General features: G+C 42.0%; 1 long non-coding RNA gene across 2 annotated transcripts in view; it reads left to right on the top strand.

Moving 5' to 3' along the window:
- LOC105377209 (uncharacterized) overlaps nt 1–16,923 on the top strand; it is a 70,327-nt gene extending 53,404 nt beyond the window's left edge. Inside the window, exons 2-4 of one of the 2 annotated variants that reach the window (XR_938385.3) lie at nt 13,028–13,103; nt 13,314–13,456; nt 13,989–16,923. This is a non-coding gene — a long non-coding RNA (uncharacterized LOC105377209). The remainder of the gene's footprint in view (nt 1–13,027; nt 13,104–13,313; nt 13,457–13,988) is intronic. The other variant, XR_938386.3, reaches the window with a different exon arrangement.
- The last annotated feature ends 218 nt before the right edge of the window (nt 16,924–17,141 follow it).

Raw genomic sequence — 17,141 nt, 5'->3', positions numbered from 1 at the left:
CCAATTAAACCTTTTTTCTTTATAAATTACCCAGTCTCAGGTATTTCTTTACAGCAATGCAAGAAAGGAATAGTACAATGAAGTTACTTGGGTATTTTGGGCCGAGAGTTTCCAGGACATGGGAAATGGCAGCTGGGTCCCAGGAAAGGAGAGTGCAGCTGGACAAAGGGACTTCAGAGACTCGCTGGAATAAATGGAAGGAAGGGAGTTGAAGTTGGGGGCCTATGCCCAGCTTTTGTGTGTTTTTTCTTCACAAATTTATGGTGTGGAATGTGTCATGTCCTGCCTGGAACCCTATTTGTCCAGCCTCTGATACAGGGAGCCAATACAAAGGAGATAGCTACTCAGGAAAAAGGGACAGGGAAGAGGCCCCTCATTAGTTTGGCTGCTTCCCCAAACAGGAGACTGTCAGAAACTTCCCTCCTTTGGGTCTCCCCCCAGGCCCTGGTGGAATGGGAGTGTGGCAGGAAGTGGGAGCCCATGATCTGGGCCGAGGTCTCCCAGGCCACAGAGGAGAAAAGGGAGGGAGTCAGTTCTGTTCTGTGCGATCTGGCAGGAAGGGTCAGGGAACTTTTCTGGGGCAGCATTTCTGAAATCGGGCTGGAACTATCTGACATAAAATGGGGATGACTGAAAACCTCCCATATTATGATAGCGGCTAGTGGGTGGGGAACAGGGCAAGTGGATTGGGATAGCAAGAATCCTAGATTCCACGGGCATGATTTGGAGGTACAACACATTGTTGGTAAGATGGTGGCTAAGGGACAAGGAAGCCTGGATGTAAACGCTTAAGATTGGTATTGGATCCCTCTGCCTTTCCGTTCTCCTCCACCCAGCAGTGAGGGGAGGTCAGGGCAGAACTAAAGTGAATGTTCTTTTCATTTGCTGAATAGGGGCTTGTGTACCTCACAGGAAGACAGAATGTGCACATTTCTCTGTGTTTCTCTTTGTCTCATTCTTAGTCCTGAGACCATTAGTCCTAGTTACCATGGGAACCAAAGCTGAGTGTCTGACGCATTCACTGGACTCTGGGAGAAAATTCGAGTTGGTCCCTGATTTCAGTAATCATCCGTTTACCACCTTCACTCTTTTTGCGATATTTAATTGTGGTAAAACTATTATAATACCAAATGCTTCCGATCTACGTTAATATTTCACTTGCATTTCTTATAGTTTGTTTAGAATTTTAATTCATTAATATCACACGCTATCTTCATTGTCGTGTTTAGAAGGCATAGTGTTTTCCTTTGAACAAAATAGTTTTTCATCAATAAGTATATTTTCAAAGGAAACTTAATATCACTACCATAAGTGGAAATCCAACATGACTTGTCATAAATAGAAAGTTACTGTAAAAAACAAACGTGAGGCAAAATGTACCATTTAGGAAAAATTATTTAATGTGTTTTAAAATTGTCAATGTTTCATTCAAATGATGCACCTGACCTCATTTTGTGTACCATATGGGTATAATTTTGGTAAATTTTATCAATGTGAGGCAGTCTTCTGTAGCCCAATTCCCTCTGGATGTGTGGACAACGTTTAATTGCTGCACCTACAAAACTGGGAATAACGGTGATCATAGCATGGTACTGACTTCCCCTGTGGGGGACCTGACCGGATGACGAGATGGCCTTCCCCAGGCATCCTTGGAGTCATTATACCTTTTAAAATGATGAGAACCGGCTTGTGAATGTTTCCCTTGCCAGTTCAGGGTACATGGATTCATTAGTGATCTGGACAGAGGCATTGTTCATTTCCTCTGTAGCTCTCAAAACTTGCACACTATTTGGGGAAGACAGAGCTCTCAAAAAATGTGTGTCAAATAAGCTTCCTTCTTTGCAAATTCTGTTCCTTCTTCCCAGAATGTCATTGCCACAGCTTTGATGGTTGATAACCTGCAATTCATCGCTTAAACTTGGAGCAAGTGCTCCTGACTCCCTCAGGAAGTTGTTTCTTCCCTCCTCTTTGTTCCTGTAAGAAAGGTAATATTCACTATGATAAGTATCATTGTCTATGAGCCTTATCTCTCCCACCGGACTCTGAACTTCTCAATGGCAGTGACTAATTCTCGTCCATCTTTTCGAAGGCTCTTCAGCTTATATAGCACCTTTCGTTGTATTGAATAATGTCATGTATGGGTCCCATTTTTCAAACCAGATTGGGAGTTCCCGTGGTAAGAGGAAGCCTGATCTTCCATTCTGTATGCTGTGTGATTCTACAGCCATCAGTCCTGCTCCTAGTGCCCCAGCAAGCCTTTCCTTGGCTATGAAGATTGCCAAAATACTGAAGCCTCAGTGAAGCCTCTTCGTTCCCCCAGGTTTCATTTTCTGGACTCAGGGATTTTATTACCCACTGTAAAGACTAAATATGCTTTTCACTGTGTGGAAGAAAGTATAGAAGTTCAACGGCACATTGTTTCTTCATCATCCTATGTTCTCTGAAAAATATTTGGGTTCGGAAATATTTTGTGCGCCTCTTATCCAATCCACTGTTGGAGAAAGAGAAATTTCATCTAAAGTTCTGCAAACTCCTTCGAATTCCTTGTGGTAGATGTAAATGGGGAGGGAGAGAGGATGGGCAGGAAGGTGAAGGGAGGACCTGGGAGATAAGGGGTGCACAGGATGATATCTGACCCCACTATCCATCCACTCCTCATTCTACTCCTAGCAGGTGCCTCCGCCCCACCACCACCTGGAGAAGACTGCTTAGAGAAAAGAAGACCTTCCAGACTCAGCCCATTCACATTCCTCTTAGTCTTTGAGGTTCATGAAAGTTAGGTAACTTGCTCAAATTCACTGAAGTCATTCTATGAGACCAATATTACCCAGAAACCAAAGGCAGAAGAGGACATCCCAAGAAGAGCATACTACAGAACAATATCTTTTATAAATGTAGAAGAAAATGCCCTCAACAAAACCAAAAGGAGAGATTGGCAGAACAGATTTGTTTAAATGCTCCAGTTACATGCTATCTTGAAGAGGTGTGCTTTACTTTCAAAGACATAAATTGCTTAAAATAAAAGCGTGGAAAAGTATAGTGTGGAAACAATCATGAAAAGAGAGTTGGAGTGGCTCTACTAATATTCTCTGAGACAAAAATATACTTTAAGACAACAATTCGATTTAGATACAGAGAAGGACGTTTTATCACGGTAGAGTGCTCAATCCATCAAGAAGATATAAAGATTTTTATAAAAATATATAGACACATAGCAATAGTGCCCCACAATACACGAAGCAAAAATGGACACAACTGAAGGGAGAAAGATGCACACAAGATCCCAGCCTTGTAGGATGTGGCTAAATTAGCTCTTAGATGCAAATGTATAGCTATAAACACCTATATTGAAAAAAGAGTAGTGCTCTCAAAAAATTCTTCTAAATTTTTATGTTAAGACACAGGAGCAAGAAAATTAAACTAACCCCAAACAGGCAGAAGGAAGGAAATAAGGACTGTTAGAGTGATATAAATAAAAAGAATATAGGAAATAATAGAGAAAATTAACCAAACCAAAAGTTGGTTCATTAACAAAGATCAACGAAATTGACATGCTTTTGCTAGACTAAGAAAGAATAGAAAAGATGCATATTACAAAAATCAAAACTAGAATATAGGATATTAATACAATCTTACAGAAATAAAAAGGTTATGGGAAATACTGTGAACAACAGCATGGCAACAAATTAGATAATCTTGTGACAAGGACAAATGTCCAGAAACACACAAATTACTGAAACTGCCTAAAGGAGAAGTAGAAGATTTGAATTGATTTACAACAAGTAAAGGGATTGAATTACTAACAAATATATTCCCCCAAAGAAAAGTCCAGGGTTAACTGGTGGAATTCTACCAAATATTTAAAGGACACTTAACACCAAAGCTTCACAAGATTGCTCAAGAACAGAAGGGCGCCCTTCCCAGCTAGTTTTTCGAGCCCAACTTTAACCAAACTCCAAAATTAGACAAGGCATCAGAAGGAAATAACTAACCTAATTACAGATGCATATCTGTTATGTATACACAAATCTCCTCCACAAATTACACACATACCTAATCCAGCAACACACACACGTGCACACACACACACACACACACACACACAGATTTTACACAAAGACCAAGTGGAACTTGCTCCAGGAATGTAAAGTTGGTTCAACGTACAAAAATCAATCAATATAATATACCACACTAACCAAATAAAAACCCCATATTATCGTTTCCGTAGACACAGAAAAAACTTGTGACAGATCCAAAACCGTTTCACAATTAAAAAAATATGAAGAAACTGGAGAAAAAAGGTGCTTCTGCAACTCAGTAGACTCTACCAAAAACTCACAACTGCCATCATGATTAATGGTGAAAGGCTGAAAACTTTCACCCTCAACAAGCAACAATGTGTGCTCTCACCATTTCTATTTAACATTGTACAGGAGCTTCTAGCTAATGCATTTAGGCAAGAAAAAGAGATAGAAGACCTCCAGACTTGAAAGGAATAAGTAAAACTCTCTCTGCTCACAGATGACATTATCTTGTACATAGAAAACACTAAAGAAGCCGGAAAAGAAAATACTATCAGGACGAGTCATTGAATTTATTCCATATAATATCTACATCAATGTAAAACATACAATTTTATGTCTTTGTACTACCAATGAATAATCCAATAAAGGACACTTTAAAAACAATTCCACTTATCATAGCATCCAAAGAAACACAATAGTTAGAAATAAATTCCACAAAAGAAGTGTAAGACTTGTACGCAGAACACTACAAAACCTTATTGAAAGAAATTAAAGAAGACCTAAAGAAATGTGAAGGTGTCCCTTACACATGGACGGGGAAGACTGTGTATCATTAAAATAGTAACAGTCCACAAGTGGATCTATAGATACAACATACTCACCGTTTCAAATCCCACCAGGATCTTCTTGCCATAATTGACAATCTGATTCTGACATTCCCTTGGCAACGCAAGGGACCCAGAAAAGCCAAAACAATCTTGAAAAAGAGCAATGATGGAGGACTCACACGTCTCTATTTCAAAACTTACTGCAAAGCTACAGTAATCAATGTGTTGTGGTACTGGCATAAATTTAGGCATATATATATCAGTGTCATAAAAATGCAAATTTTAGAAATAAACCTCTTCTTTTAAGTTCAGTTGATTTTCCACAAGTGTATCAAGGCAACTCAAAGTGAGAAAGAATAGCATTTTCCACAAACGGTGCTGGGACAAATGGTTATGCCCATGGAGAAGAATGAAGTGGACCCACCATCTCATGCCATGCCTGAAAATTAATTCAAAATGAATGATAGACATAAACCTAAGGGGAAAAAAACTATGTAACTTTTGGAAAAAAACTTTGGGGATAACCTTCATGACCTTGAAATTGGAATTGGCTTTGTAGATATGGTACCCATATCACGGGTGAAAAACATGAAACACAGAGGAATTGTACTTCATTAAAATTAAATACTTTTGTGCTTCAAAGCCCACCATCAAGGACAGGGAAGACAACTTATGAGATGATTGAAAAGATTGGAAAATCATATATCTCATATTTGACTCTATTTGCAATATCTACTAAACACTTACGACTGCCTAATAAAAAAGACACACAGCCCAAATAAAAGTGGGCAAAGCATTGCAATAGACATTTCTCTAAAGAACATGTACAAATGGCTAATAAGCTCAAGAAAAGATGCTCAGTGTCATTAGTCATTAGGGAAGTGCAAGTCAAATCCACGTTGTGATACCACTTCCCACTCACTAAGATGGCTGAAATCAAACAGATAGACAATAACAAATGTTGGCAAGGTTGTGGAGGAACTGGAATCTTAAGACATTTCTCATGGGATTGTAAGATGGCCCAATCACTTTGGGAGAGGGTGCAGCAGTTCCTCCAAAAGTAAGAGTTCCTTTATGACCCAGCAAGTCCACTCCAGGTGTTCACCCAAGAGATTTCAAAAAATAACTCAGGTAAAATCCTGTACAAGAGTGTCCATAACAGCCTCCTCCATAGTAGCCAAAAAGTGAAAGAATCTAAAAGTCCATCCACAGTTGAATGAGTAACCAATATGTAGTATCATTATATGGTAGTTAATGGAATGTACGAGCCACAACATTGATTAATCTGGAAAACATAGTGCTTACTGAAAGAAGCCGGTCCAAAAGGTCACGCATTGTATGATCTGATTTATAGGAAACATTCACTACATGCAAAATCAGAGAGCCAGAAGATAGATCAGAGGGTACCAGTGGTTTGAAGAAGAGGGGAGATTAGGTCACTTAAATACATACAGCGTGTTTTTTGAATAAAAAAGTTCTTAAATTACATGGTTGTGATAGTTGCACAACTTTTCCGTTTTTTAAATTTTATTTTATTGTGCTAAGAACACGTAACATGAGATCCGCCCTCACTAAAATTTTAAGTGCAAAATACCATATTCTTAACCATAGGCACAGGGTTGTACAGGAGATCTCAAGAATGTATTCACCTGGCACAACGGAAACTTTATACCCATAGAATAGCAACTCCCTGTTTCCCCCTCCCTCCAGGTTCAAGCAGCCGACACTGCACTCTGGTTTTTAAATTTGACTATTTTAGATAGCTGAAATATTTAGAACCCACATTATTTGGGTGTGATGGCAGGAATTCCTTCTTCATGGAAGTGGAATAATGTCCCATTTTATGTGTATACCACATTTTTAATATCCATTCATCTGTCGATGAACATTTAGGTTGTTTCCACATTGTTTTTAAATTTTGACTGTTAGATGTAATGCTTCAATAGAGGTGGGAGTGCATATATCCCTTCGAGGTCCAGATTTCAATTCTTTTGGATATATACCCAAAAGTGGGATTGCCAGATCACATGGTCGTTCTATTTTCAATTTTTTGAGGAACCACTACGGTGTATTCCATAGTGGCTGCACCGCTTTATGTGCCTACTCCAGTGTGCCCGTGTTGGAATTTTTACACATCTTCTCCAAAACAACACTTGTTATCTTTTCTTTCTTTCTTTCTTTCTTTCTTTTCTTTCCTTCTTTCTTTCTTTCTTTCTTTCTTTCTTTCTTTCTTTCTTTCTTTCTTTCTTTTTCTTTCTTCTTTCTTTCTCTTTCTTTTTTCTTTCTCTTTCTTTCTTCTTTCTTTCTTTTTTGTTTTGATAATAGCTATCGTTCAAAGTGTGAGGTGATAGCTCATTGTGGTTTGGATTTGCATTTCTCTGCTGAGTAGTGACGTTGAGCACTTTTTCATATACTGTTGGGCATGTGCATGTCCTCTTTGAAGAAATGTCTATTCAAGTCTTTTGCCCATTCTTTAGTCAGTTTGTTGTCTTCTTTTTTGGTATTGAGTTGTAGGAGTTCCTTGTATAGCTTGGATATTAATCCCTTATCATATATATCCTTTTCAAATATCTTTTCCTGTAAATCTCCTAGAAGAGAACATAGGTGAAAAGTTCCATGGCATTTGACTTGGAAATTATCTCTTGAATATGACAAAAAGCACAAGCAACAAAAAGCCACGTTAGACTGGTGAGACTAAGTCGAACCAAAAACCTATGGTGAACCCACCGGGGCCTGTTGTGGGTAGGGGGAGGGGGGAGGGGGGAGGGATAGCATTAGGAGATATACCTAATGCAAAAGACGAGTTAATGGGTGCAGCACACCAACAGGTAACAAACCTGCACGTTTTGCACATGTACGTTAGAACTTAAAGTATAATAAATATATATATATATATATATATATAAAAAATAAAATAAAATGAAAGCAAAAACCAAAAACGAAAACAAAAACCTATGGTGAACCAAATGAAACAATCAACACGGTGAAAAGGCCACCTACGGAATGGGAGTTGCTCAACTTTTGGAATATACTAACAACCACTGCACGGTACACTTTAAAAGGGTGAGCTTTGTGGTATCTGAATTATATCTCAATAAAGCTGTTTCTTTTAATGAAGGAGGAAAGAATCTCTGAAGGAATTCAAAATGTTCATAACTTATTCCTAAGTTAACATACATGCTAGTATATTAGGATACAAGTTGGAGGGATATTTTTGAATTATTACAAAACGAAACCTATACGAAGACTTCCATAAGGCTGAAAAATTAAATGTGGTAGGAGGCTTCCAAAGCGGCCTCTCTGGCAGAGTAGCAAGGTTGCAAGAACAATGTCAAAACAAAGCTATTTCTCAGGCATGACCTTTGTGATTGTTTCTATGTCTCAGACTCCCGTGGATCCTACCTGCTTTCCAATTCTGGTTATGCAGCCCTCTTATTGACTTCGTGTGCAACCTGATATTCTTGCATCAGGTTTGTTTGTTTGTTTTTTTTTTTTTTTTTGGTTGAGCAATCGTGAGTGTTTTTCTGTTGTTGCTAACCAAACATTCTGATGGACACAGGAGGTGGCAGATGTAGGTGTTATTTACATCTGTAAAGTGAAAGGAAATTTCTTCGAGAAAAAAATGTAGAAAAGGAGGAAACAAGGCCACAATCTGGAGCATATCAAAAAGTAGAGGAGTTTACAAGAAGAGGAGCCAGGAAACAACTCAAAGAATAGGATCTATCCTGGAAGGAAGATCACCAGAAGAAGATGGTTTCATGGAATCCACAAGATCTCAAGAGACCGATAGTGGCCAGCACGTTCAATGCTACTAAGAGGGCAAGCCAGGTCAGAGGGATGATAATTGGATTTGACATCATGTAAGTTACTAAAGAGCATGAAAAAGAAAAAAAGCATATTGGAGGACAGAAGGCCATGCAAGACATCGGAGGTGGAGATGAGGAAGTGGTGACAACCTGTTCAGACAACTTACCAGAAAAGTTTTGCTGTGAAAGGCAGCAGGTATGTGGGAGAACAGCTGGTAGGGAAGTGTCGCCAAGGGAAGGTATTTGTTTAAAATGGAGGACAGTGGAGCGTAATTGTATGCTGAGGGGAATAGCCACTGGAGCAGAAGAATTTGAAGATGCAGAGAAACAGTGGACATCTGCAGGAATTCAAACTGTGAGAAACAGTGAGGGGTAAAGATGGGGTCAACCAGAGAGGCTGGCTTTGTTAAAAATATGAGCCACCAGCCCCATGCTTCATGCTCTCAGTTAAAGCCATGCTGATAACCTCCATCCCCGGGGATGGCCAAATTGAGAATGAGGGATTGGCAGGGCAGAGATGTCCAGAGGATGAGGAAATGAAGTTTGAAGTCCATAGGATCCAGGCTGAGTAACGAAGGTTAATGTAAACTGACAAATTCAAATTTTGAGAAATGTATCGGTCAGAGATATTTTTAATTTTTTTAAATTTAATTTTATTTTTTTTCTGCAGTTGGGGTCTCGCTGTGATGCCCAAGCTGGTCTTGAACTCCTGCCTTCAAAGTGCAGCCTCCCAAAGCTCTGTGCAGTGGTGCTGTCATAACTCACTGCAGCCTCAAACTCCTGGGCTCAAGTGATCCTCCTGCATGAGTCTCCCGAGTAGCTGGGACCACAGATGCGTGCCACCATATAAGGCTAATTTTTTCTATTTTTATAATTTTAGAGATGAGGTCTCGCTACATTGACCAGGCTCGTGTCCAACTCCTGGCCTCAACCAATCCTCCTGCCTCGGTGTCTTGCATAGCTGGGGTTATAGGTGTGAGCCACTGCGCAGAGCTAGGTGAGGGATTATGATGTGACACTCATAGCTCCTTAGTGTTTGGTGATTGTCTCTGGGTGTTCACATGTTCACAGGGAGGTGGAGACATAGACAGATCCCATTACTGAGAGATAAAGAAATCCCTACAATGAAGCAGATTAATGGAGGGACTTCCTTCTTTCCAGGGAGAGAAAAGGGCAGTGCTCAAAACAGGAAGAAAAGCCATGAACGGGAATTCACCGGAAATGGAATGTCCTCAGAAGACCTTATCTTTTCCGTGGGAGGCAGGGGATGGGTGATTCTTTTTGGATTCTAGCAGCATGGATGCTTAGCCATCGCTCACTAGTAGTTTGTTCCACTATAATTTCATGTAGTCACTATTGACCCTTCGCTGAAGTCTGTAACTGGCATAGCGTCTACAGTCCTGTGAGTGGTGCTTTTGGGGATTTAAGGAGCAGAGCAGTCAAGCGAAGCGTTGCCTTCCTGGCATTGCCATTCCCCATTGGTCCTTCTCCAAGGGAAACTGGTCGTGGTCATCCAGACAGAGACCAGGAGCCGAGTGGATCTGAGATCCCCCGAGAGGGGTGTGAAACACAGGGGAGTCACTGGCAGGTGGGCACTCAGGAGTGCATATGAGACAAACCCCCTGACCCAGAGGAGACTGGATGTCGCGCAACATCCGTGGAGGTCAGGAAGATGGGCAGAACTTCATGTGGTTCCTTCTGGCGTAGGGCATGGCTGTGGGTGTGGGTTGCACATTGCAGTGAAGACGAGTTTACTTAGGTATTTTGGACTGAGGGGTTCCAGGACATGGGAAATGGAGGGCAGCTGGGTCCCAGGAGAGGAGAGTGCAGCTGGACAAAGGGACTTCTGAGACTCACTGGAATAAATGGAAAGAAGGGAGGGAAAGTTGGGGGCATATGCCCAGCTTTTGAGTTGTTGTTTATCACAAATTTATAGTGTGGGACGTCTCATGTCGGGCCTGGCACGCTGTTTGTCCAGCCTCTGGTAAGGGGAGTCAATACACAGGAGGTGGTGGGCTTCTCAGGAAGAGGGGCAGGCAAGAGGCCTCTCATTAGTTTGGCTGCTTCCAGAAGTGGGAGACTATCAGAAACCTCCCTCGTCTGAGTCTCCCCAAGGCCCTGGCGGAACAGGAGTGTGGCAGGAAGGGGGAGCCCTAGGAACTTGTCCCATGGTCTGGGCAGAGGTCTCCCAGGCCACAGAGGAGAAGAGGGAGGAGGTGTGTCCTGTGTGACTCTGGCAGGAAGGATCAGGGAGCCCTCCTGAGACAGCGCTTCTGAAATTGGGCTGGCTGGAACTTTCTGTCAGAAAATAGGAATGACTGAAAAAACTCCCCTACTGTGATAGAGGCTAGAGGGTGGTAAAGAGGAAGGTGAGTTGGGGTAGCAGGAATCCTAGGTTCCACAGGCATGGTTTGCAGGTACAATACATTGTTGGTAACATGATGGCTCGGGGACAAAGAAGCCTGTCTCCAAACCGTGCAGGTGCATTGAGAGGATGTAGAAATTCTGGATTCATGTCAGGCCCGTCTGCGTTTCTGCCCTCCTCCACCCAGCATTGAGGGGAGGGCAGGGTAGAACTAAAGCGAATGTTCTTTTCAATCCCTGAATAGGGGCTTGCGTACCTCAGAGGAAGACAGAACACGCACATTTCTCTGCGTTTCTCTTTGTCTCATCTTTAGTCTCTAGGCCATTAGCCCCTGTTGCCATGGGAACTGAAGCTGAGTGTCTGATGCATTCATTGGGCTGTGGGAGAAAAGCAGAGTTGGTCCTTGAAATAAAGGCCCCTGGGAGAGGGGATTCTAGCAAGGCAGTCACATTGAAAGAATTCACAATTCCCACAGATATATTGATCCTTGTGATTATTAGTACACACACACACACACACACACACGCACACATCCCACACACCCCCACCCCATACACACACACACACACACACACACACACACACACACAGGCTTCATCCTGAACAGATACGATGTACAGAGCATCGCACTGGCTGGCCCATAGGGTTCTTGTGGGAGAGGCCAGGCCTCTGTGACCATGAAAGGGGTTGCAACTGATACAGTCAGGGAGGGATCCCAGGAAGGGGAGTGATTCCCTTAAATTTGCTTGTTGAAACCCGTATCTGGCAGGGGAAAGGAGGATCCGGTGCAGAGCTTGGATTCAGCAGAGGTGGCTGTTGATGTGACCAGTCCCCCTGTTTGGGTGGGAAGGCCCTGAATGACACATGCAGCAAGGCAAGAGTGGTCCCGTGCACCCTTTGCTCTTTCTTGGCTTATCCAGCTCCTCCCTCTGAGATAGTCCCATGGGGAGCCCCAGGTTGACCTGGGATGGGGATCCCCTCTTTCCAGGGGCAGGGTAGAGTTCTCAAAGCTGGCAGTTTTCTCCTCCTTTCCCTTTCTCCCTCGCTGCCCCTTCTTCTTGCCCCCTGCTCATCAATCACCCTTTGGTAAAGGACCTCTCCCCTTGTTCCTTTCTCTTTACTCCCTCATCCATTTCCTCTACACTCCTTTCCTCTTTCCTCTCTCTTCCTACCTCACTTCAGCCTCTGTCATCACCTCTCATCTCCCCTCTCTGCTCTCTCTCCTCCATGCCTTGTCTTTCCCTTTGTCCTCCCTCCGAGTTCCCATATCCCTCACTGCCCTTTCTCTCCCTCTTTCCTTTCTCATGTTGTCCTCCCCTGGTTTTCCCCTCATTTTGCTTTTTCCTTCTCTCTATGCCGTTCCCTCCCCTCACCCTCCCCGCCCTCCCCTCCCCTGATACTCACCCAGTGACTAATCCGCAGTTCCTTAAGTGGTACTGGGCGTAACGTGGGCTCTATGTGTTTAGCTTTCAGCCTCGGAGGGCAGTACATCCTAAAGTGAATCACCAACTTAATTATTCCTCTGCAAATTACCATCAGTGATACGAGATTCAACGACAAGGAGCTGTGAGAGCGCACAGGAAGGGAGCTCATTTCTGGGGTGGGCTCAGTGAAGAAAATGTCATTGATGATAGTCCTTGTTCTGCCATCCACCATCCTCTGCTTGCCTCTTTCTGTCACTGCCTTCCCTTTTATGTTGGGGGCAACTCTCCTCTTCTATCTTTTGCAGCAGGGTGGGACTCCTCTCATGGTGTCCTGCCCTCCACACCCCAAGGTGTGAGTTCTCATGAAGTCCAACCGGATGCCCATTTCCTGCAACCTGAGCACCCAACAGACCAAAGAGCATGAGGGGTAGTTTCAACTCGCCCGGGGACCCTTGTTCCTGCTCCCAGCTTCCCCAGGGCACCTTTGGTCATGTACTTCACTCACCCCTTCTCTTTCTCACGTTCACTTCTCACCTCTCTTCCCCCTCCCTCTTTCCTGGCTGCATCCTTTTCTCCTAAGGCTTTACCCCATAAAGACAAAGAAACTGGCTGAGGAGACAAGAGAAAGAAAGTAGCAGAAGATGGGAAGGAAACAGGTGAGTGACACTGACTTAGCTGATTAAGAGAGCTTGATCTTTTTTGAGGGTGTGGGGGGTTCTCGCTCTGTCGCCCAGGCTGGAGTTCAGTGGTATGATCATAGCTCCCTGTAGCCTCGAACTGCTGAGCTCAAGGGATCCTCCAGCCACAGCCTCCAGAGTAGCTGGGAGTACATGTTAATTTTTTTTTTATGTTTTGTTTTTTTACAGACGGAGTCTCACTTGTGTTGCCAAGAGAGCTTGAGCATCAACTGGCAGTGAGGATGGCAGGAAAGCAACTGACTTATCCCCTCTCACCAGACCTTCCAACTGTCTGCAACACTGGCATTGCCACGTATCCCGGCACGTTGTTGGTAATGGTGGGGGCTGTAAATTGCACGATTGCTCTAGAAAGTGTATTTACAAATCACTTAGACGCCCAGATCCCCTCTCAGCTCCTCGTAGCATGACAAATCGCTCTCCCCCCACTCTGGGAGATGGCGGACAAATGTACTCTCTGCAGAGCATGAACCAGCAGATTTATGGGCTTTGGAACTTCAGGCTCACTTCAAGGCATACATCCCAACCCGGCGTAGGGATTTCAGTTGCTGTCTACAGCAATCTTCAGTCCCTCACCTCCGCTGGAGTTTGGCGTCCAGATTGCTGGCATCTTGCCCCTTCTCAGAGATGCAGGAGAGTCTTCCTGTGTAATCTAAACTTCCCCAGAGAGGAGACTTAGTAATATTGGCAGGCAAAGACCTCTGGAGTTTGCTTCATTAGTAAGCTCAAAATATTTTCTTATTTCAACGTTAGTTTTTCTTAGAGCCATGGGTTACTTAGGAGGATGTTTCTTAATTTACCAACATATACGGGGGTTTGTAATGATCTTTTGTTATTAATTTCTAGATCCCATTGTGGCATTGTGGTCAGAGAATATACAAATCGCTGAAGAATCCATTGTTTATGGACATTCCTGGGATAGTATTCATTTAAATATCTCTATGTACACTGTAATGGAATATAATACAAAAATGGAGTTGCACGCAAAATGAGGGTACCACTCAGTAAATGGTTCCACAGGGACGTCTGATCCCCTACGATCTGGGTTAAGAAATGGTGTAGTGTATTGCCGGCAGCTCAAAAGCACTCTCATGCCAGTCACTCTTGTCTTCCACCTCAGCAAATCTAACCACTCTTGTGACTTTTAACACTTGACGATAATCCTGCCTGTTTGTGAACGCATTACACATGAGTAGACTCAGTACAGTACGTATTTTATAATCCGGGTTTCTCTTGGCAACATTAGGTTTTTCTCCTTGCTATTCACTTTTGTCGTGCTGTGTAGCTGAATTTCGTTTCTTTGCATTCCTGCGCAGTGTTTTGAATTGTATGACGATGCCACAATTTATTCATGCCTTTTATTTCTAATGGGCTCTTCAGTAGTTTCCAGCGCTGGAGTGTTAGTGTTATTATTGTGGTGCACGTTCACAAGGATGTCCTTTGGTTAACATGCGTATGCATTTAAGGCTGTGCTTGCAGGACTGCTTTGATTACTTTTTCTTCCTTCATGGCACTGTAAGTGGTGACAGTGGATGTATCTGGTTTTTTTTTCCCCCTGATCTCAGAGGGAAAGCTGTCAACATGTCACCCGTAAGTATCGTTGTTTTTGTAGGCTTTTAAAATATATTCCAACGGAATCAAGAGACTTCCCTTTTGTTCGTAGTTGGCTAAGAGGTTTTATCATAAGTGCATGGTCATTTAAAAAAAATCAAACCCATGAAATACCCTTCCTGCGTCTGTAGGGAATATCATATTTTTTCTCCTTCATACATTACTTCTGAGAGATAGATTTTTCAAGCGCTGAACCGCTTCATTTCTAGAATACTCTTGACTTGTTTGTGATACGTTTTCCTTTTTGGAGATTTAACTGATTTGTTTTGCTAATGCTTTATTCAAGATTTCTTCTTCTGTGCTTATGTAAAAGATAGGCCTGTGCATTTCATTTCTTACCATGCCCTTTAAGGTTTTTCCCTCATAAAACGGGATGGGAAGCATTTCCCGTTTTTTATGTTACTTGGCAAGAAGGTAAGATTGATATTCCTTCCTTCACAAACGTTTTGTAGAATTAATCGGTGGCAGCATCAGAGTCCGTAGGTTCTTGTGGCTGTTGCTGTTGTTTCCTTCAGATTCCGCCCGTTTAGAATTTGTAGGACAATTCAGATGTTTAGTCTGTTTTCTGTCATTTTGTTGTATTTTCTTGAAATGTGTAAATTATATCCAAAGTTTCACGTTTGTGGGCATAAAGTTGCTCATGGTTTTGAATAATGATCTCTTTAATGCCTTCATTGCCCATAGTGATGTCTCCTTAGCCACTCCAGACACGGGTTGCTTCATGATTTCTCTCCTTTTTGTTCAGGCCTACACAAGGCATGTCTTAATCACATCATCTTTTCAAAAAACCACCTCTGGCTGTGTTGTTTTATCTTTAACTGATTTGTACTTTTATCGTTATTTCATTTCTTCTGCTTTCTTCAGGTTTAATCTGTTGTTCAACATGGTTAAGAAAGATGCAAATGTTGTGCCTTTCTTTTTCATGCAATCTAGACAATTAAAATATATCCCATAAGATTTCATCAGGTTCAAAATACTTTGCGATTTCATTGGTGATGTTTTCCTTGAGCTATGGGTTATTTAGAAAATAGGAAATAAAAAGGATGCCTTTTCTAAAAATAAAATGAAGTGAAATAAAAAGGATGCCCTTTTATTTCATTTTCTTGCTTAATTGCCCTCTGAACTTCCGGGACTATGTTGAGAAGAAGTAGCAAAAGCGGGCATCTCTGTCTTGCTCCTGATCTTAGAGGAAAAGCTTTCACTCTTTCGCCATCGTGTACAGTGTTCACAATGAGTATTTTATATAGGACTTTTGTGACGTTGAGGTTGTTTCCTTCTGTTTCAAGGAGTTTGAGTGTTTTTATCACGAAGGGGGTTGACTTTTGTCAGATGCTTTTAGTGCATCAATTGAGCCGATCATGTGGTTTTGTCCTTCATTTTGTTGATGCCGTACACTAAATTAGTTGATTTTCATTGATCGAAACTTCCTTGCATTCCACGAATAAATCCCACGTGGTCATGGGCCTTTCATGTGTTGTTGAACTCGGTGTGCTAGACTTTTGTTGAATATGTATGCACAAACATTCTTTTGGGAAGTGTGTGTGTGTGTGTGTGTGTGTGTGCGCGCGCGTTTCTGGTCCTAGTTCTTCTCTAACTGTTTAGTAGAATTCTCCACTGAAGCCATCTAGTCCTGCGGTTTTCTCTGTTGGGAGGTTGATGAATACTGGTTAAGTCTCCTTATGAGTTGTCGAGATCTGCTGAGATTTTTTATTTCTTCAGGAGTCAGTCTTGGCAGCGTGTACGTTTCTCAGAATTTATCCATTTCTTCTAAAGTATCAAATTTGTTGGGGTATAGTTGTTCCTGGTCTTCTCCTTATAATCTTTTTTATTTCTGTAGTAACAATTGTAATGCCCCTCTGTCATTCTGATTTTAGTTATTTGACCCTTCTCTGTTTTTTTCTTAATCTGCTTAACCTATGTTGACCTTTTCAGAGACACCAGCTCTTAGTTTCATTGTTTTTTTTTTCCTATTATTTGTCTATTCTCCATTTCCTTTATTTGTGCTCTAATCTTTATTACTTCCTTCCTTCTGCTAACTTCGGGTTTACGTTGTTCTTCCTTTGCTAGTTCTCGAAACACAAAGATAGGCTGTTGATTTGAGATCTTTCTTCTTTTTCACTGTAAGGATTTACCACAATAAACTTCCCTCTTAACACTGCTTTCCCTGCATCTCCTTAGTTGTGGTATGTGGTGTTTTCATTGTCATGTGTCTCAAGATACTTTCTAATTTCCTTGTGGTCTGTTCTTTGACCCACTGGTTGTTGAAGAGAGTGTTGTAATTTCCACCTGTTTGTGACTTTTTCAATTCTCCTTCCGGTATTGCTTTCTAGTTTCATTCCATTGTGGTCAGAAAAGATAATTGGTATGATTTCAAACTTCTGAAGTTTG

This window comes from Homo sapiens, chromosome X, assembly GCF_000001405.40.
Source record: "Homo sapiens chromosome X, GRCh38.p14 Primary Assembly".
In the NCBI taxonomy this organism is placed as follows: domain Eukaryota; kingdom Metazoa; phylum Chordata; class Mammalia; order Primates; family Hominidae; genus Homo; species Homo sapiens.
The sequence above is the reverse complement of the archived record's forward strand: the minus strand, read 5'-3'. Positions and strand labels throughout refer to the sequence as shown.